Source organism: Homo sapiens, chromosome 16 (assembly GCF_000001405.40).
Source record: "Homo sapiens chromosome 16, GRCh38.p14 Primary Assembly".
NCBI classification, from domain to species: domain Eukaryota; kingdom Metazoa; phylum Chordata; class Mammalia; order Primates; family Hominidae; genus Homo; species Homo sapiens.
In genome coordinates, this window is record NC_000016.10 from 71,498,559 (window position 1) to 71,521,033 (window position 22,475).

Consider the following 22,475-nt stretch of genomic DNA (forward strand, 5'->3'; position numbering starts at 1 on the left):
CACACAAAAGTTCTGCAATTCTGTGAATTTACTGTGTTTTTGTTCAAGTGTCTTAGCAACTTCATTCAGAATTTCAACATGCCATTTTAATCTGCTTCTCCCTCCCAAGCCTGTTACCTTGAAGTAGTAATTAACTGTCCTCATGCTTTTTCTTATTTTACTTGCTTGTCATTGATGGTGTTCTGAGCTACTCTTCCCTTGAGCTTCTTTGTTCATTCCTGAGGTCTTTCTCTTCCCTCTTCTCCCCGAGCACACCCAAAGTTTTCATCTAGTTAGTGATTTGCAATGTTATGCCCTACTTCATCTTTTTTTTTTTTTTGAGATGGAGACTCACTCTGTCACCCAGGCTGGAGTGCAGTGGTGTGATCTCGGCTTACTGCAACCTCTGCCTCCTGGGTTCAAGCGATTCACCTGTGTCAACCTCCCGAGTAGCTGGGACTACAGGCGCCCACCACCATGCCCAGCTAATTTTTGTATTTTTAGTAGAGACAGGGTTTCACCATGTTGGTCAAGCTGGTCTCGAACTCCTGATCTCGTGATCCACCCACCTCGGCCTCCCAAAGTGCTGGGATTACAGGTGTGAGCCACTGCGCCCGGCCTACTTCATTTCAAATATTTAATTTTGGGTCTTTTCCAACATAGATTGAAACTTTTTTGCATATTTATTAGCTTTAATAATGTAAATGTGGTCTCATACTGGGTAGAATTATCTTATTTGTTGCTCCTCGTACAAACTTCTCTGATCCCTGCCAGGCGAGGTATCAGAGCCCCAGCAATGGCAAGTGGCTGGCTTGCAGGTGGTAAAAAAGAATTTACAGTATAGGTTTGAAAAGGAAAGTTTTATTAGATAGAAAGAACACTGCAGGAGAGGGCAGTGAGGCACTTCAGCAAGAGAGGACTGAGCGTGCTGGTGGATTTTCCTTAGGGGTATTTATGGACCTTAAAGCAGGAGCTTAAGGGTAATGTGGACCACATTAGCAATGTAGGTCATGAAAAATGATCACATTTGTAGACATTTTAGTGCCTTGATGTCAGCAAGGGATGCACAATGAGTTTCAACGTGCATGGATTTCGGAGATGTATAGAACTCCTAGTTACTTATAAATTTAGGGGGAAGAAGTCTGGTACCAGATGCCAGCTTTAGATAATAGGCAAGTCTAATTACTTTCTAATTCCTCAGACAGGGAGTTTTGCCTCCAGATGGTCTGCCTGATGGCCACCAGGTGATCTTTGCTCTCCTCCATCATTATTACTGTCGTCATTTTTGAACCAGACCATATTCTGGCATCAAGAGGGAAGAAAAATTAACAATCTCCAACCATTTGAAGAGCCTGACTCTGTCCTGAATATTGAACTGCACTCTGAACAGCAGCTACATTTACTTGGCACAATGGTGACATCTAGTGTCAGCGGGATAAATTTCAGCTAGCTCTGCGATTTACCAGAAATTTAAGCACAGGGTCTCAGTGCCTCAGGATCCTCACCTCAACTTCCTTCAGGGCCAAGAAAATGTTTCCTTCCAATTTGTAATTTGCCTTTGGATTTTCTTAACAATTGCTCTTTAATTTTATACATTATTGGGTTTAAAATTAATGTACAATAGACCAGAGATGTTTAGAGTGTACAATATGATGAGTTTTTGACCAGCAGAGAACAAAATAGAAAAATTAAAAAAACCCTTGTCCTCATAGAGCTTACATTCTTAATGGCCAAAATTATGTCACATGGCTGCTCCTAACAGCAGAGGAATCTGTAAGGCAAGTTTTTTTACTTTCTTGCTTCCATAGTAGGAAGAAGATGGAAAGGGGGGGTTTGCGTGAGCCCATCTACAATTCCTGCCACAGTGAGACAGAGAAGCACTCAAATTACATAAGTGCTTATATACAACAGTTAAGGTTAAAGCATGTTTCAGAAGTATCGACATGCGTGTTCTTTACATCCGCCCTATTTATTATTATTACTACTATTATTATTAACTTAGATGCCTTCTTATGTGATGACATGTAAATAGATCCTCTAGCACAAGACCTTGATCCACAGAGGACCTCCAGTCAATGATAGACATTATCTTAGCACCAATAACGTACGCCCTGTGGTTTTCTAATGTTGCTTAGAGCTTTCATTATTTGCATACCTTGTTCGCTGTAAAGGTTCTCTGTCTACTATAAGCTCATCTGGCTCATGACACCCTTCATCTGGCTCATCAAGGTGTTCACAGCCTGTTTGTTTTCCAAACTCCCCTTGATGGAGAGAAACAGATGTCTACTAGACAGGATGAGTGGGTCCACTCATCTGGCTCAGAATATATCCATTCTTACTGAATCAATATTATATCACAGTTTATAAAAATGTACTCCAAAATTTCTGGGACTTACCACCAGGCTACGCTTTCCAAGGGAAAATCCATCAGAGCACTGGTTCTCAAACTTGGCTGCACATTGGGATCACCTAGGAAGTTTTTTAAAAAAACATAGTGCCTAGGACCCACCCCGCAAAACAGTGATTCTCAACTAGGTGGTTTGCCCCACTACTAGAAATACATGGATATGTCTTTTGGTCAGTACAACTAGGTAAGTGTGCTACTGGCATCTAGTGGGTAGAGCCCAAGGGTGCAGTTAAACAACCCACAATGCACAGGACAGCTCCTACAGCAAAGAATTATCTCGTCCCAAATGTCTATAGAGCCAAGGTGGAGAAACCCTGTCCAAAGATACAAATATCCATATGCATTCAGCCTGGGTGTGGGATTTTTGAAACCTCCCCAGGTGATTATTCTAGGCAGTAAAGCTTGAGAACCACTGCTAGAGACATGTTCCTAGAGAACATTCAATCATATGGCTAAATTCCTCTCAACCCCTTGCCATTGAGCTTGAACTGAAAATTTTCCATTTCTTCTTGTTTGATTTGGGAGTTGTTTGTTTGGGAGGTGAGGGTGGTTGGAAGGAGGAAGAGCTAGTTGCTTTTGTGAGAAAGCCTAGGTTTCCCACAACATGCTAGAATGGGTATCTCTGTAAATAGAAGTCTAGCTGTTATTATTCACCTTGTGAGTTGGCCTCCCCGGCATAGCTCAAGAGGATCATTAACCACTGTCAAACACACATGTCCTGGGGTACGGGTCACTAGGAATTACATGTGGGAGAAGCAACTCCTTTGCAAATGAGCACTCCCTAATGTTTCACAGAATGACAGCTTCTCCCACTAGGGACCTCCCAGGAAGGGCCACTGCAGTTGTGAAACTCTAGGGGGAACCAGTCACATAGAACACAATGTGAACGATGCTCCCAGGCTTCATGGCCCTCAAAGTTAATTTTACATTCACCAGAATGCCTAGCCTTTTAAATCAGTCCCATATATACATAGAAAGAGAGGGTGTCTCACTCTATTGACCAGGCTGGAGAGTGGTGGCACCATCACCGCTCACTGCAGCCTTGACCTGCTGGGCTAAAGCAGTCCTCCTGCCTCAGCCTTGCGAGTAGCTGGGACTACAAGTGCATGCCACCATGCCTGGCTAATTTTTTAATTTTTCTGTAGACCCAGGGTTTCACCATATTTCCCAGACTAGTCTTGAACTCCTGGCCTTAAGTGATCCTCCCACCTCAGCCTCCTAAAGTGCTGGGATTACAGGCATGAGCCACCGTGCCTGGCCCAGTCCAGGCTACATGAAATATTTAAATATTTTGCCTACGTGAAAATATTCCACTAGCTCTCCATATGTACTTTGACATTTATTTATATTATCTCAGATAATGCTAGGATAATATATGTTACTCTCTATATATGTATATATACACACTATATGTATACATGCGTATTTATAGATAATATTTAAAATTTGTAATGCAAATAGTGTCGTATTTTACAAGCCAACCTACAACTTGCTTTTTTCACTTAACACTCTATATTACCCACTTAGCATGCCCAGATATGTAGATATATGTTATTCCTCTAACAGCTGCAGAATATTACATTGCATGGACTTGATTTTAAAGAATAGTTGCATATTAGATGTAAGTGGAATGAACATTGGCATTTCCTGAGCCCCATAACATGACACTGAAAGGACAAAAAGGCTGCAGATTCACAAGGACAAGAGAGTGAGAAAGGAGACAAACGCAGATGAGAGATGTTCACAGTGTTTCGGTGATACCAGGAAGCAAGCTGATTCACCCAGTGGAAAGGCTCAGGGATCGGGCATCAGAGACTTCACAAGGCAGAGGCGAGCCATGTGACAGACGTATAAGGATCAATTGGACCCACCGATCTCATTCCCACCTGCAAAGCCCAAAGACCTCTCCTCCCAAACTTTGCAATATAGGAGCTTTATTCTCTGGGGAAAACACCAGCAGAGGGCCAGATGGAGACAGTGGATTTAAAACAAGGAGATGATTAAAAGTGTGCATGCTGAACAAACATCACAAGGCGTTGCCACTGCCCCAGCTCCATTCTCCCACCTGGCTCTCAAAACATTATCAAGCAGGCTTATACTGTCTGCAGAGGAGCCTTAGAGGCAGTGAATAACCCCAGATAAACCTACAAAACATCTGGGGTAAGGGTCTATCAGCGAAAAAAAAAAAAAAATGCCATAGTCTCACAATTTCTTCTTTACCACAGAGGACTGGGTGTGATTCTAGGACCCCAAACACAGCCATGCCTACAGGTAGCACAAACATAATAGAAATGACAAGGAAGAAGAGAATTTCTAGAAATAATGATCAAGAGCATCGGGGATATTTAGCACTAAAACTAGTGATCCAAGGGACATGCTGGTAGGAGGTCATGGGGAACCATGGAGAATGTCAGACTGAGATGGGCAGGGATGAGGGCAGAGCAGGAGCAGCACCCAAGATGTCTACCTCTTAATTCCATCAAGGAGACAAGAGGGACTCGACAGAGCCATCATGGGACAGAGATCAACAGTGACCAACCTGATTCAGCAGCCATCTGGTGTACCTACTATGGGACAGAGATCAACAGTGACCAACTTGATTCAGCAGCCACCTGGTGTACCTACTATGCGCCAGATTCCGTGTTAGGGAGCACGTACGGATATAGGAGTAGGATGCTGTCCAATGATCTAACAATGCACCTGTGGAGATTGCCACTCACGGTGTTCTCCGCTTTCCTAGAGTCTGGAGACTCTCTCTTCTTACTTTCACAGCTCTTTGGCCATCCACAAATCCATTTGCCCACACGCTTCCTGGTTCCTTCACTTTCCTCCAGCCTGACACAGACGTGTCTTTCCTGGTGCACTCCCACTAAAGAATGTCTGCGAGGATAGAAGGTCCCTTCTGGTTGTCATGACAAACCAACAAACTAGCATGGGAAACACTCACTGTGTGCAAGGGACTCACTTTGGCATTCAAACTTCATCGTACAGAATAAAGAAAATGTGGTTCATCTATGCCATGGAATACTACACAGCCATAAAAAGGAATGAGATCATGTCTTTTGCAGCAACATGGATAGAGCTGGAGGCCATTATCCTAAGCAGATTAACACAGGGACAGAAAACCAAATGCCGCATGTTCTCACTTACAAGCCATGGTCTGCAACCTTTTTTTGCTTTCATACCCATTAAAACAGTTTCATTAAAAAATTAGTTTAGGTAGTCATGGCCATCAAACACATGAAAAGATGCTCAATGTCGTTAGTCATCAGGGAAATGCAAATCAAAACCAAAACGAGGCTGGGCGCGGTGACTCACTCCTGTAATCCCAGCACTTTGGGAGGCCAAGGCGGGTGGCTTCCCTGAAGTCAGGAGTTCAAGACCAGTCTGGCCAACATGATGAAACCCCATCTTTACTAAAAATACAAAAAAAAAAAAAATAGCTGGGCGTGGTGGCAGCACCTATAATCCCAGCTACTCAGGAGGCTGAGGCAAGGGAATTGCTTGAACCAGGGAGTGGAGGTTGCAGTGAGTCAAGATCATACCACTGCACTCCAGCCTGGTGACAGAGCGAGACTCTGTCTCAAAGAAAAAAAAAAAAAGAGATACTATTTCACACCCACTAGATCAGCCATAATTAAAATGGAAAATAACAAGAGTTGTGGAGAATGTGGGGAAATTGGAAACCTTGTGCATCACTGGTGGAAACGTAAAATAGTGCAGTCACTGTGGGAAAGTTTGGTGGTTCCTCAAAACGTTAAGCATAAAATTACCAGCAATTCCACTGCTAGGTACATAGTAGTTCCCCCTTATCCTCAGGGGATAGGTTCCAAGACCCACAGTGAATACCTGAAATCGTGCATCGTACCAAATCCTATGTACACCATGTTTTTTTCCTATACATACATACCTACAATAAGGTTTAATTTATAAATTAGGCACAGTAAGAGATTAACAACAATGATAAAATAGAACAATAATAATAATATGCCAGTATCACTACTCTTGCATTTTGGGGCCATTAAATAAGGGTTACTTGAATACAAGCTCTGCAATGTGATAACAGTTGATCTGATATCTAAAACAGCTACCAGGTGACTGACAGGTGGGTAGCATCGACAGTGTGGAAATGCTGAACAAAGGTGTGACTCACGTACCAGGCAGGACAGAGCGGGACAGGGAGAGGTTGCATCACACTACTCAGAATGACATGCAATTGAAAACCCAGGAATTGTTTACTTCTGGAATTTTCTGTTTAATATTTTTGGGCCATGGATAACCAAGGATAACTGAAATAGCAGAAAGGCGGAATACTGTGTACCGAAAAGAACTGAAAACAGGTATTCAAACAAACACCTTGTAGAGGAATGTTTGTTGCAGCAGCACCAGTCTCAATAGTGAAAAGATGGAAACAGCCCAAATGTCCATCAACTGATGAATAAATACAATGTGGTGTATTCATACAATTGAATATTATTCAGCCATAAGAAGGAACAAAGTACTGAAACATGCTACAATGCAATGAACCTTGAAAACATTATGCTAAGCGAAAGAACCCAGACAGAAAGGGCCACGTGCTGCATGATTTCACTTATACAAAATGTTCAGAACAAATAAATCTATAAAGACAGAAAACAAACAAGCAGTTGGGGGGTGGTGGGGGGTGTGGCAGAATGGAGAGTAACTGTTTCATGGGTACAGAGTTTCCTTTTGAGGTGATGAAAATGTCTCAGAAATAAGAGATCGTGGTTGTACAAAGTTGTGAATGTACTAATGTCACAAATTGTAAACTTTGAAATAGTTAATGGTTAATTTTATGTTATGTGAATTTTACTCAATTAAAAAAATCCATAAAAGAAAATAAACCCAGATCCCCTAATATGTTTTTAGCTAATATTTAATATTTTCAAACATAAGTGTAAATAGTTGCAAAGGATGTAATTTAAAATAAAACTGTTACATCAATCTTTTAAATATAGCCGTACAATCTTAATGCACTATTAATTTCAGACTTGATCGCCTATTTTAAAAAATATATGAACAATCTTTTCTTTAACAGTCGTTTTAACTTGTCATTCCTTTTCCTCCTTGAAATTATGTTTCCATTACACTTCTCCACAAACTTTCAAACTTGTATAATTTTTTAGGTTTGAAAGTTTTCTCCCAATTATCTTATCATATATAAAATATGTATATAATTTAAATTAGAAACTTTAAAAAACTCTACTGACACCAAAGTCTTCAAATAGTGGAAACTTATTCTGGATTGGTTATTATTATTGCTATTAGTATATAACTGATCAAAACAACATAAATATTACAAGTTTTGATAAATAACATAAATAATTATTAAACACAAAAATAAAAAATTTGTTAAAAATACAGATGTTTTAATAGATTGGGTGGGGCTTTTTTCTGTTTATTCACACATTTGTGGATAAATATTACACTAGAATGAGAGTTCAGCATAAACTCTATTTTTAAATTTTGTTTCTAGAAATATAAGCACTGTTTACACAAACAAGAAGATAGAAATGGAGAGTTTTGAGATATCAGTGTCAGTCACTCAATCCTTTTGAGTTTTATGCCCCAAATCACACAGTTGTTAATCATTAAAAAAAAATCTCTTTTTTTAAGACAGAGTCTCTCCTGCTGTCACCCAGGCTAGAATGCACTGGTGCTCACTGTAACCTCAAACTCCTGGGCTCAAGCGATTCTCCCATCTCAGACTCCCAAGTAGCTGGGACTACAGGCACATACCACCACGCCCGGCTAATTTAAAAAGGTTTTTTTGTAGAAACAGGGGTCTTACCCAGGCTGGTCTCCAACTCCTAGCCTCAAGTGACTCTCCCACCTCCACCTGCCAAAGCACTGGGATTACAGGCCTGAGCCACCACACCCCTCCTCAAAAATTTATCTTTAGTGATCTATCAGCTCATGGCTAGGTTAGGTATTCTTTCAATGCATTAATTTGTTTTTTAGGTTTGTTTTTACTTATTCTTTAATTTTTTATACTGACAAGCTCAAGTCTACACAAATATAGAAGAATAAAAAGAATCCCTATGTGCCCATCACCAGCATCAACAATGTTATCATCAACCCATGGCCAATCTTGTTTCATCTCTACCTTTCCCATCTCCTCTCCACCTCACACCACTTCATCACTGCTGGACTGTTTTGAAGCAAATCCCAGGTTACACACTTTTACTTCACCTGTAAATACTTCTATATATATCTCTCTTAAAAATAAGGATGTTTTGAAAACATAACTTATAAACCAGTACACCTAAGAAATGCAAGTCATTCAATATCCATCTAATGTGCAAATTTCCCCTAATTGTCTCACACATATTTTTGTTTTGGTTTGGTTTAGATTTTAGTGTTGGTTTTTCTTCTCTTTCTTTTCTTTTCTTTTTTAGTGTTGGTTTTTTAACTCAAGATCCTAACGAGGCCCACAAATTGCATTTGGCTGATATTTCTCTTAAGTCTCTTTGCATCTCCTTGGCTTACTGTTTAACATGCTCTTCTGGCCTCTGAATTTCCTGAAAATTGATCTTTAGATCTCAAGACTTGGTCAGATTCAGATTTTATACTTTGGCAAGAATCCTTCACAGATGGTATGTGCAGTGGGTTCAGTGTTATTATCTTTCCATCTAATGGTTTTAGCAGCTATCAATGACACAACCTGGATCCATCATTATGAAATGGAGTTCCTCTTCAATTTTAATGAAAGCCAGTAAATGGAAACCTGCAGAAGAATTTGTTCCCTAGTTGTCAGAGTCACCACTCTCTTAATTTTTAGAAACTAGTATACTCAACTTCAGAAATTATCATTATTATATTAATTAGTTATTGATTTTGAGACTTACTTTATTAATTAGACTTATTAATTATTAATTTTGAGGCAGGTAATTATAATTAATTATACTGGTTATTCTTTCTTTTTTTTTTTTTTGAGACAAGGTCTTGTGTATCACCCAGGCTGGAGTGCAGTGCAGTGGCACAATCATAGCTCACTGTAGCCTTGAACTCCTGAGCTCAAGTGATTCTCCTGCCTCAGCCTCCCAAGTAGCTAGGACTACAGGCATGCACCACCATGCCCCATTAAATTGTCTTATTTTTATTTTTGTAGAGATGGGGTCTTACTATGTTGTCCATGCTCACCTTGAACTCCTAGCCTCAAGCAGTCTTCCCACCTCAGTCTCCCAAAGCACTAGGATCACAGTGCATCAGCCTGCTATTATTCTTTCACTTAAGATACACCTTGTTTAACTTGTTGATAATACTCAAAAACTACTGGAAAATCAAAATATTTATATCAAACCACCATCACCAATTTAATATTTTTTCAATAAAAATATTTTTATCTCATCCTATGTTTTAAATACATTCTTGTTAAAAAGCCTTGGAAATCTATTTCATTTCACCTATGAAAAATACCCACCATATAACCTAATTGGACACTCTGATCCTCATTTTCAAACCAATAAAATAATCAGAGTTAATTTCTCTCCGAATTTTTTTTTTTTTTTTGAGATGGAGTTTCAGTCTCGTTGCCCAGACTGGAGCTCTAGTTTGATTGCACTGTGGTCTGAGAGACAGTTTGTTATAATTTCTGTTCTTTTACATTTGCTGAGAACTGCTTTACTTCCAACTATGTGGTCAATTTTGGAATAAGTGCGATGTGGTGCTGAGAAGAATGTATATTCTGTTGATTTGGGGTGGAGAGTTCTGTAGATGTCTATTAGGTCTGCTTGGTGCAGAGCTGAGTTCAATTCCTGGATATCCTTGTTAACTTTCTGGCTCATGGATCTGTCTTATATTGACAGTGGGGTGTTAAAGCCTCCCATTATTATTGTGTGGGGGTCTAAGTCTCTTGTAGGTCTCTAAGGACTTGCTTTATGAATCTGGGTGCTCCTGTATTGGGTGGATATATATTTAGGATAGTTAGCTCTTCTTGTTGAATTGATCCCTTTACCATTATGTAATGGCCTTCTTTGTCTCCTTTGATCTTTGTTGGTTTAAAGTCTGTTTTATCAGAGACTAGGATTGCAACCCCTGCCTTTTTTTGTTTTCCATTTGCTTGGTAGATCTTCCTCCATCCCTTTATTTTGAGCCTATGTGTGTCTCTGCACGTGAGATGGGTCTCCTGAATACAGCATAGTGATAGGTCTTGACTCTATCCAATTTGCCAGTCTGTGTCTTTTAATTGGAGCATTTAGCCCATTTACATCTAAGGTTAATATTGTTATGTGTGAATTTGATCCTGTCATTATGATGTTAGCTGGTTATCTTGCTCATTAGTTGATGCAGTTTCTTCCTAGCATCGATGGTCTTTACAATTTAGCATGTTTTTGCAGTGGCTGGTACCGGGTGTTCCTTTCCATGTTTAGTGCTTCCTTCAGGAGCTCTTGTAAGGTAGGCCTGGTGGTGACAAAATCTCTCAGCATTTGCTTGTCTGTAAAGGATTTTATTTCTCCTTTTCTCCTTCACTTATGAAGCTTAGTTTGGCTGGATATGAAATTCTGGGTTGAAAATGCTTTTCTTTAAGAATGTTGAATACTGTCCCCCACTCTCTTCTGGCTTGTAGAGTTTCTGCTGAGAGATCCACTGTTAGTCTGATGGGCTTCCCTTTGTGGGTAACCCGACCTTTCTATCTGGCTGCCCTTAATATTTTTTCCTTCATTTCAACTTTGCTGAATCTGAAAATTACGTGTCTTGGAGTTGCTCTTCTCGAGGAGTATCTTTGTGGTGTACTCTGTATTTCCTGAATTTGAATGTTGGCCTATCTTGCTAGGTTGGGGAAGTTCTCCTGGATAATATCCTGAAGAGTGTTTTCCAACTTGGTTCCATTCTCCCCATCACTTTCAGGTACACCAATCAAAAGTAGATTTGGTGTTTTCACATAGTCCCATATTTCTTGGAGGATTTGTTTGTTTCTTTTTACTCTTTTTTCTCTAAACTTCTCTTCTCGCTTCATTTCATTCATTTGATCTTCAATCACTGATACCCTTTCTTCCACTTGATCGAATTGGCTACTGAAGCTTGTGCATGTGTCACGTAGTTCTCATGCCATGGTTTTCAGCTCCATCAGGTCATTTAAGGTCTTCTCTATGCTGTTTATTCTACTTAGCCATTCATCTAATCTTTTTTCAAAGTTTTTAGCTTCTTTGCAATGGGTTCGAACATCCTCCTTTAGCTCGGAGAAGTTTGTTATTACTGAAGCCTTCTCTCAACTCGTCAAAGTCATTCTCCGTCCAGCTTTGTTCTGTTGCTGGCCAGGAGCTGTGTTCCTTTGGAGGAGAAGAGGCGCTCTGATTTTTAGAATTTTCAGCTTTTCTGCTCTGGTTTTTCCCCATCTTTGTGGTTTTATCTACCTTTGGTCTTTGATGATGGGGATGTACAGATGGGGTTTTGGCATGGATGTCCTTTCTGTTTGTTAGTTTTCCTTCTTACAGTCAGGACCCTCAGCTGCAGGTCTGTTGGAGTTTGCTGGGGGTCCACTCCAGACCCTGTTTGCCTGGGTATCACCAGCATAGGCTGCAGAACAGCAATTACTGCAGAAAGGCCAATGTTGCTGCCTGATCCTTCCTCTGGAAGCTTCATCTCAGAGGGGCACCCAGCTGTATGAGGTGTCAGTCAGCCCCTACTAGGAGGTGTCTCCCAGTTAGGCTACTCAGGGGTCAGGGACCCACTTGAGGAGGCAGTCTGTCCGTTCTCAGATCTCAAACTCCATTCTGGGAGAACCACTACTCTCTTCAAAGCTGTCAGACATGGACATTTAAGTCTGCAGAAGTTTCTGCTGCCTTTTGTTCAGCTATGCCCTGCCCTCAGAGGTGGAGTCTACAGAGACATGCAGGCCTCCTTGAGCTGCAGTGGGCTCCCCGCAGTTCAAGCTTCCCAGCCACTTTGTTTACCTACTCAAGCCTCAGCAATGGTGTACGCCCCTCCCCGAGCCTTGCTGCCGCCTTGCAGTTCAATCTCAGACTGCTGTGCTAGAAATGAGCGAGGCTCCATGGGCGTGGGACCCTCTGAGCCAGGTGTGGGATATAATCTCCTGGTGTGCCATTTGCTAATACCATTGGAAAAGCACAGTATTAGGGTGGGAGTGTCCCGATTTTCCAGGTACCGTCTGTCATGGCTTCCCTTGGCTAGGAAAGGGAATTTCCCGACCCCTTGCGCTTCCCGGGTGAAGTGATGCCCCGCCCTGCTTCAGCTCACATTCTGTGGGCTGCACCCACTGTCTGACAAGCCCCAGTGAGATGAACCGGGTACCTCAGTTGGAAAAGCAGAAATCACCTATCTTCTGCATCGCTCATGCTGGGAGCTGTAGACTGGAGCTGTTCCTATTCAGCCATCTTGGAACCTCTCTCAGAAGAGGTGAAATAACTTCTATTCCACTATTCCTACTCCACAATATTCAATTCAGAATATCCATTTGCAGGCCAATTCCTCCCAATAGGAAAATGTTCAAGACAACGGAAGGTAAACGGTAGGCAAGTTTTCTCCCCCTTTCCCCTTTGATTATTAAAAGAGCCTTTTCAGAAGTCCATATTTGAAAGTGTCCCTTTGTTTGGTGCCCCAGAGGTTTTGCCTCCCAGGGGCAATTCAGGGCAGATTAAGGGTATGCACTCCTTTTGCAAAGCAAGAGAAGAACAGATTATAGGAGGCGCTTGGGAAAGGAGCATCTGCGCAAGCAACCAGGGCCATTCCCAGAAGACCACACATGAAGCTGAGGATCTAAAACTGGAGTCCCCTAGAACTGTCCACTTTACTCTTCCCAATTTGAAGACCACTGACTGCTGACCCCTTGCTTTGAGAATATTTCCTCAAAAGACTGGAAAAAGGCAGATAACAGTGGTCTCAACTGTTACTGACTTGCTTTGAAACTTGGAGAACTTTCCTTAATGTCTTACTGTGCTAATCTGAAATTGGAATCAATATCTAGTTTCCTGTTTCCTTCTCATGGTATTTTGAGAATTAAGCATTGTCAACACAAAGAGTCAAAACTCTGTAAAATATTTGAAGAGATTTATTCTGAGCCAAATATGAGTGACCATGGCCCATGACACAGCCCTCAGGAGGTCCTGAGAACATGTGCCCAAGCTGATCGGGGCACGGCTTGGTTTTATATATTTTAGGGAGGCATGAGACATCAATCAAATACATTTAAGAAATACATTGGTTTGGTTCAGAAAGGCAGGACAACCCAAAGCGGGTTGAGAGGTGGGAAGCTTCCAGAGTATAGGTAAATTTAAACATTTTCTGATCAACAATTGGTTGAGTTTGTCTAAAGACCTGGGATCAATAGAAAGAAAATGTTCAGGTTAAGACAAAAGACTATGGAGACCAAGGTTCTTTTGAAGTCTTATAGTGGCTGCCCTTAGAGACAATAGATGACAAATTGTTTCCTATTCAGACCTTTAAAAGGTGCTAGACTCTTACTTAATCTCTTAAAGATTGGGAGGATCTGGAAGAAAAAGATCTAACTACGTTAATAGAGATTCTTTAGATGCACATTTCCCCCCACAAAGGACAGCTTTGCAGGACCATTTCAAAACATGGCAAAGAAACGAGTTTTGGGGTAAAATATTTTGACTTTCTTCTTTGTCACATAATGTTATGCCACAGTCAGATTGGAAAGTAAGTCATGATATATGAAGTTAAATAAAACCCATCTGATGAGAATTTATGGTTTGTAGAGCAGATTCTCAGAACCCTTAGATAGGAATTTGGCCAAGATTTAAAAATCAGAGTTTAGTCTTCAGCATGAAGGTTAGCAGTACTACTTAGGTTTTGAATAGCACTTTTACCTTTCTGAATGACTTTGCTGCCTGGATCTTCTGTTTCCCTCTCAACTGTCCCTCAAAGGCAAGTCTCACCTTTGTGCAACAGGTGTGGGGCACGGAGGCCCAGGGCGAGACTGGCCAAAGATCACACAGCAAATAGGTGACCTGGTTGGGAATAGAACCTGCGTTTACCTCCTTTCTCCAAATGCATCAGCACAGGAAAATACGGAGAAAACAAGTTTACACTTGATGTTAGTCAAAAGGCCAAGAAGCAATTGTATATCTAAGTTCATAGTACATCAACTTTTTTTTTTTTTTAGACACTCTGTCACCCAGGCTGGAGTGCAGGGGCATGATCTCGGCTCACTGCAATCTTGCTCTTACGGGTTCAAGCGATCCTCATGCCTCAGCCTCCAGAGTAGCTGGGACTACAGTCGCACACCACCACATCTAGATAATTTTTTCTATTTTAGTAGAGATGGCTGCCCAGGCTGGTCTCGAACTCCTGAGCTCCAACAATCCGCCTGCCTCGGCCTCCCAAAATGCTAGGATTACAGGCGTGAGCCACTGTGCCTGGGCAAAGATTTTTTAAAATAATGTTCATAAAGAGAGGCCAATTCATATTCTTAGTTTATTCCAGCAAACTATGATTCAGATATCTGAAGGCGGAAAAAAAAACCAAAACCTGAAGTTCCCAAAGACAGTCTCCATTCTAAACTGCACCTCCTTCTTCACAGTCCAGTGACCTATGACATGCTTTCTACTTCTGAATCCACCCTGTAAAATGATCCTCTTCTGAAAGGAGTTTCCCACCAAACAAGGAAGTTCTAGACATAATCACACTTCAGGAGATATTTGTGTATGGTTTGCTTTTTGTTGTTTTGTTTGTTGATTTTGCTTTGCTTGGAGCAAAGTTTTAAATTTAATTTCTGTACAAAAGCTATTACAAAAGAGGTAAGATTTCCTCCTACTTCTTTTCTCCTGCCACCCAGTTCCTTTTCCCAGAGGTAATCAATGAGAAATAATTTAGAATGTAAGATATGTTATAATTCTGTACATGCCATGGCAACAGGAAATAAGCCATTCAGGGCTCATCCGGAATCCAGGAAGTGTTTGGATATTGGAAAAACAAAAACAAAAAAAAACCTTTGTTCTGTAAGACAGTATAGAAAGTTGGGAGAAAGGTCTACTCCAGGATCAAGGTAAAATCTGACATGCCACATAACCATAAAAGAGAATGGGGGATAAAAGAATGAAATAATGAGTCTACCTGGGAGCTATGTGTGAGCCCAAGACAGGAATGGGAGTTTCCAGAAGTTCACAGAGCAGTTAAGACCAGAATAAATCCAGGTAGCCAAGACCAGTCAGGACCAGGCATGGAGATAGACCCCAGGGCTGCCTCTCTTTCCAAGCTGATCTGCAGACTGAAAATTTAGACCAGTTACAAATTATCTAAACTGCCCCAGGAGCTGAAAACCTTTAAATTTTAGAGTTGCGAGGAAACAAATACTATCTAATACATCTACTCTCAAGCATTTTGGTCTCAGGGCCCCTTAACACTTGGAAAGATACTGAGAATCCCATAGTGTTTTTGTTTATATGGGCTCCTCTCTATAGATATTTACCATATTAGAAATCAAAATTGATAAATTTTTAAATATTTATTTATTCAAAAATGACAATTATGAACATATTACATGTTGACAAAAATGCTTTTATTAAAAATAAATATATTTTATTTTTTAAAAATTAAGGGGAATGATTAGCATTATTTTACAGTTTTGAAAATCTCTTTAAAGTCTGCCTTAATGGAAGACAACTGGATTCTCCTTTCTGCATCTGCATTCAAGGTGATTTGATATCACATGACACATAGCCTTGGGAAAACCACCATACACACACACACGAGAATGAAGACGGCAAACGATGTCCTAGCATGATTATTAAAATGATTTTGCATCTACAGACCTCCTGAAAGGGTCTCGAGGACCCCAATGGTTCCTGGACCACACTTTGAAAACTATGGATCTGAAAATAATTTAGGATTGCATTTTCCTGTAATGCCGCGTCTTAGCAATGTGACCTTGGGTGAGCTACTTAACTTCTCTAAGCCTCAGCTTCCTCCGCTGTAAAGCAGCACTAAGAATAGAAGGCTACGTTTATGGCCACATGCCTTCCTATAATCTGGGTATCTTCATGGTCATTATATATATAAGTGAGGTAATACTTATAAATATTTAATACAGTACTTGGCCCCTAGTAATCACTCAGGTAACAACTCTTCCTACTATTATTGTTAATATTTGCTATTACTACATATCAAGCATTGTGCCAGGCACAGCAGGGGTCATATCACAGGGTGTAAGAGGCCTCAAGTTGCTTAACAGTAGGGGACATAGGACAAATACCTAATTATAGAACAGAACAGATTTTGTCCGAATGATACAAACCAGGAAGAGGTCACATTCATTCACTCATTCAACAAATATTAATCGATTTTCTCCAGTGTGCCAGGAACAACAGGGAGGAAGAGGCCAAGGTTTCAGAGCCTCAGGAATGAGGAACAGCAGGAGGTGAGGGGGTCAGTGAGGAATGGGATGGGCTGGGCGTGGCCAAATCAGGTAAGGCTTTGTAGGCCTATGTAATTGAGGATATAAGGAAATGTTTTATGAGAAGGCTGCATTTGAATTAGAACTTCAGAAGAGGCAGGATTCGGGATAAAATTGATGTGCACATTCTTTTATGCACTTTCAACAGATATTTGAGATTTCCGCCAAGTCTGCTGCACAAACGATCCCTACTTCCAAAGAAGATATTTTTGCATTTAATGGTTTTTATCACATAAGAAATACATGCGCACTTTTAAAAATTAGAAAATACAGGAGTGACCAGCCTGGGCAAACATAGCAAGACTACTACATCTCTACAAAAAAAAAAGAAAGGTGGGGCGGGGGGGGGCCAGGTGTTTCTTCTATAATGTTCTTGCTAGTGGTGGTGCACACCTGTAGGCTCAGCTACCTGAGAGGCTGAGGCAAGAAAATCACATGTGCCCAGAAGTTCAAGGCTGCAGTGAGCTATGATAGCACCACTGCATTCCAGCCTGGGCAACAGAGCAAGACCCTGTCCCCGCCGTCCCCCAAAAAATACAAGTGAGCAAAAATAAGAAAATAAAAACATTCTTCTGGCATGGGTTGTGTGTGAGACCCCAGGACTATCCACCTACAGGATTCAACCCTAAGCCTGTGGGACCAGTGGTTTGTCTGCAGGGAGCTAGAAGCAGCTAGAAAAGCCGGCCTGCCTGCCAGGGTAGACCTCCTCCTCGCCCCCTAACCAAATTGTGCTCACGTTCCTTGAGTCCTCACCGCCCGACTGCGCACTGGAGAAGTTGGAAGGAAAAAGCCTCGTGCAAGAGGAAGCGCAACCCAGGGCGCAGAAGCCCCCTCCTGGCGCCGCAGCGGGGCTCTGCCAGCTCTCCAGGGAGGCGCTGGGTGGAGGATATGGCCAGAAAGGCAGATGTCTTCTAAGGGGGAAAACAAAGTTCCTGGGCGAAGGAAACGTGAGAAAAGGACAAAGAGGAGTAAAGAAGAGGGTGCATCAGCTTGGGAAACGCAGCAAGGCGCACAGTGCATGCGCACTATGTAGAGCGTAGGGGCTGCGGGGCGGTGTGGGGAGAGGTCACGGCCACCGTGCGTGCGAGGCCGGGGAGGCTGCGGGGGATCGCATGGGAGCCCCCGAGGTGAAGCCGGGAAAGCGGCCCCACGACGACCCCCTGACGGCTGCGGGAGGGCTGAGAAGCCTCCTTCCCTAATACATTAAAGAAAAAAAAAATTAGGCCGGGCGCGGTGGCTCACGCCTGTAATCCCAGCACTTTGGGAGGCCGAGGCTAGTGGATCACGAGGTCAGGAGATCAAGACCATCCTGGCTAACACGGTGAAACCCCGTCTCTACTAAAAATACAAAAAATTAGCTCGGCGTGGTGGCGGGTGCCTGTAGTCCCAGCTACTCGGGAGGCTGAGGCAGGAGAAAGGCGTGAACCTGGGAGGCGGAGCTTGCAGTGAGCCAAGATCGCGCCACTGCACTCCAGCCTGGGCGACAGAGCGAGACTCTGTCTCAAAAAAAAAAAAAAAAAGAAAAAAAAAATTAATCCAAGTGGGGGTGGTTTTAGGTGCTGCCTCTTTATCTTTTGCTTAGATTTTGGAAGGGTTTAAAATTTCCCTCCTTGCCTTTAGATTCTCTAATCTTGTATCCGACGTTAATTAAGCACCTACTGTGTACTAGATGCTGGTGCTGGGGGCACAAAATGGAAGACCCCTATAGTCCTATAGGGAGGCATATATGTAAACGCATGTGCATCATTACAGAGGTTTGTACAATTTACTTTGGGGGGCGAGGAGAAAGAACTGGCACGGGGAGAAGGGAAGGTTGCACAGGAAAGGCATATCTGAACAGGGTTTAGAAGGCTGAATTTTTGGCAGGTGGAATGGGAGTAAGGTGGGGAGGAGAATATTCTAGAAGAAACAGCAGGTCTTAGAGAGGCATGGAGTGTGAAAAGACGTGCTTCTGTGACTAACATAACAAAATAATTTGGACAAAGTTATTTATCCTTCCTAACTCTTAAGTTCCTCTTGAATAAAAAGAAATAGTGACAGCAATATAGCAATGTGTCCAATCAGTGGATTATGAAACACACTTCAAAGGCAAAATGATATCCTCACACCCAAAAGGTAAATGCTATCATAACTCGGGTGAACTGTGTTCTTGGAAAGGGAGCTTAAAACAGTTTATCCCAATGTTGATTCTGGTTTTGGCTTCATGGAGTCTCATTCATTCTTACTTCTGACCTCTACCCCTACTGTAATTATTTTTTCAAGGAACTGGACCAACAGGACCCAAGGGAGAGTATCAAAGGCAAAACAAAGGAAAATGAGGACAACCCAATACTCAGAAAAAAAAACGAGTAATTCATGGATTCACAACGGGCAACAAACTAGATGACTATTAGGAAGAGAAGAGCAAACCTTATGATCTCAAAATGATTTCTTGTTCATTTGCATCCTCGCATCAATCTAGACTTTAAGAAATATGTGATTTTTAAATAAATGGGTATATCTGCATAATAGTGTTTTGGCATTAAATTATTTGATATGACTATTAAACATGTTTCTGCAAAAACCACTTCACCATACTGCTAGAATCTAGCAGCTAGATTGACCCAACACTTCATTATGTCATTCCCTTGCTCAAAGGTTGAAAGCAACCAGATGTGGTGGCTCACACCTGTAATCCCAACACTTTAGGAGGCCAAGACAGGATGATCACTTGAGCCCAGGAGTTCAAAACTAGCCTGGGCAACAAAGTGAGACCTTTTCTCTACACAAAATAAAAACACATAGTCCCAGCTATTTGGGAGGCTGAGGTGGAAGGATCGCTTGAGCTCGGGCGGTCAAGGTGGTAGTGAACTGTGATTGCACCACTGCACTCCAGCCTATATAACAGAATGAGCCTGTCTTAAAAATAAAAAATAAAGTTGTAACTATTCTCTGCTAAGTAGAATATAAAAATGCCCTAACCTTACACTCAGATTTCCACAATTAAGCTCTATTCTGCCCCCTATCCACACCCTTTTTCACTATTGCTCTACAGAAACCCTCTTCTTTGACAAAATTAATTTTCTTAGTGTGCCTCAAACACACAATCCCATGTGAACACTGACCTTTCATAAAGATGATATTCTCGCCACCCCAGCCACATACTTAACTAGGCTACTAGATACATGTGTCCTCTGTGGTCTCCTAGTGGAAATTCTGTTTTTAATGTTAATACAAATAATTTTTTAAGCAATGCAAGTTTCTTGACATTGTTTAGGAAACGTCAGTGGTTAGAGTGATTTAGTATTGCGTACTGAAAATAATAGAAAAAATATCGACACTGAGTCATATCTACTTCTTTACCTTCGACCTTTTAAAATGTACTTGTGGGATTTAGATTATCTTTGGATTGAACTATACAATACAATAAAATGTAAAATTAAGTGCCCCATGTTTGAGAGACAATCATTGTACTTGAGGTAGAAAAGTGCTTTAAACAGTGATGAGACTTGGTTTTATATTGTCGCTTCACATATGTTTGTTGGACCAGGTTTTCTGTGGGTGCGTGTATTTGATTACATTGTTTAGTTATAGGGAATGTGCACCTGTTTTTTGTTGTTGTTGTTGTTGTTGTTTTCAGCTGGGCGCAGTGGCTCACGCCTGTAGTCCCACCACTTTGAGAGGCCAAGGTGGGCAGATCACTTGAGGTCAGGAGTTTGAGATGAGCCTGGGCATCATGGCAAAACCTTGTCTCTATTAAAAGTACAAAAATTAGGCCAGGCACGGTGGCTTACGCCTGTAATCCCAGCAGTTTGGAAGGCCAAAGTGGGTGGATCACCTGAGGTCAGGAGTTCAAGACCAGCCTGACCAATATGGTGAAACCCCATCTCTACTAAAAATAGAAAAATTAGCCGGGCGTGGTGGCAGGCACCTGTAGTCCCAGCTACTCAGGAGGCTGAGACAGGAGAATCGCTTGAACCCGGGAAGCGGAGATTGCAGTGAGCCAAGATCACGCCACTGCACTCCAGCCTGGGCGACAGAGCAAGACTCCATCTCAAAAAAAAAAAAAAAAAAAAAAAAAAAAGCTGGGCAGGGTGATACACGCCTGTAATCCTAGCTACTAGGGACGCTGAGGCATGAGAATTGCTTGAACCCAGGAGGCAGAGGTTGCAGTGACCTGAGATCATGCCATTGCACTCCAGCCTGGGTGACAGAGAGAGACTCTGTTTCAAAAAAAAAAAAAAAGTTCCTTTTTAAGGTTGAACAAAGGCTCATTCATTCCTTCCTTTCCCAGACTTTCACCAAGCGCCTTCTATGGGCCAAGCATTGTGCTACGTGCTAGGTATACACAGGCAAGAGGTAATATACACAGATAAAAGGTGATTCTCTCCCAACGTGAGTTGGGAAGACAGACATGGCTAAGGCTTGTGGCTATGCTGAAGGGACTCTGCAACAATTTTCTAAGGCTACTATAATGCTGAGTAACAACCAGCCATGAAACTTCAGTGGTATACAATAAAACCTCATTTCTTGTGCATCTAGGGTGGTTGCTTAGGTAGTTCTGCTGATTTGGCTTGGGTTCACTGAAGTGTCTGGTGGTTAGCTGCCATTGGCTGATCTAGGATGGCCTCAGCTAGGACAACCATGGTAATTTGGATGTGCTTCCCGTGCCTTTCATCCAGCAGGCATGATCTCACGGCAGTGACTAAGACACAAGAGCAAGAACATGTCCAACTGCACAAGTTACTTTAAAGCCTCTGCTTAAAAACATCCCAACAGGCCAGGCACGGTAGCTCATGCCTGTAATCTCAGCATTTTGGGAGGCCTAGGCAGGCAGATCACTTGAGGTCAGGAGTTCAAGACCAGCCTGGCCAACATAGTGAAACCCTGTCTCTACTAAAAATACAAAAATTAGCCGGGCATGCTGGCACATGCCTATAATCCCAGCTACTGGGGAGGCTGAGGCGGGAGAATTGCTTGAACCCTGGAAGCGGAGGTTGCAGTGAGCCAAGATTGTGCCATTACACTCCAGCCTGGGTAAAGAAGCGAGACTCCATCTCAAAAAAAAAAAAAATCCCTACAATCAAAGCGAGTAGCATAGCTGAGACCCCAGGCAGAGTTATATGTCATAGGGCATGGATACAAAGATGGGAGAATGGAGGTCATCATGGCAATCTGCCATGAGCTCTGAACACACAGACCAGGGCACCTAACTCAGCCTAGGGACATAAGGAATGGTTTCCCAGAGAAGGTGATGCTGACTTGAGTTGAATCTTGAAAGAGAAGACGCAAGTTAACCAGGCAATAAAGCAGAGAGGGCGCTTTAAGCAGAGCAACCCACATGAACCAAGAGCTTTGGAGACTGAAGTGCTTCCACGTCTTTACTTTATGTGATGCATATGCCCTGCAGCTATTAACCTTTCTGCAGTTTCCTGTCTGGAATGTAGATGTGAGCCCTAGATGTGCACAGCTGTCTCCTGGCCATGAGGCAATAAGCATGAAGTTGATGGTCTGTAGAAATAAGTCACCCAATGGCATTCTTGAGCCACTGTATCCACCCCAACTGTATGACTACATGACTTCATGTCACACAGGTCAGCACCCAGGAACTCCTGTGATATCCCCTGGAGAACTACCTAGTCCCTCAGTGCTCCGTGATCTATCTCTTCTTTCTCCCTCAGTCAAGACTCTTTCTCTCTCTCTCTCTCTCTC

The 22,475-nt window shown here is 42.1% G+C and overlaps 1 long non-coding RNA gene across 2 annotated transcripts, besides 1 other annotated feature; it reads left to right on the plus strand.

Annotated features, from left to right (window-relative positions):
* Positions 1,315 to 1,474: a silencer, noted in NCBI's record as "silent region_7679". NCBI's record gives its function as "represses an Ori minimal core promoter by ATAC-STARR-seq in GM12878 lymphoblastoid cells {active_cell/tissue: GM12878}" and the evidence as "EXISTENCE:reporter gene assay evidence [ECO:0000049][PMID:35858748]".
* On the plus strand, positions 15,253 to 19,288 carry LOC105371335 (uncharacterized). 2 transcript variants are annotated; one of them, NR_135171.1, is made up of 3 exons: positions 15,253 to 15,377; positions 16,142 to 16,263; positions 19,047 to 19,288. It is a non-coding gene; the product is annotated as an uncharacterized LOC105371335 (long non-coding RNA). The 2 variants fall into 2 exon arrangements; NR_135172.1 differs by lacking the exon at positions 16,142 to 16,263.
* The last annotated feature ends 3,187 nt before the right edge of the window (positions 19,289 to 22,475 follow it).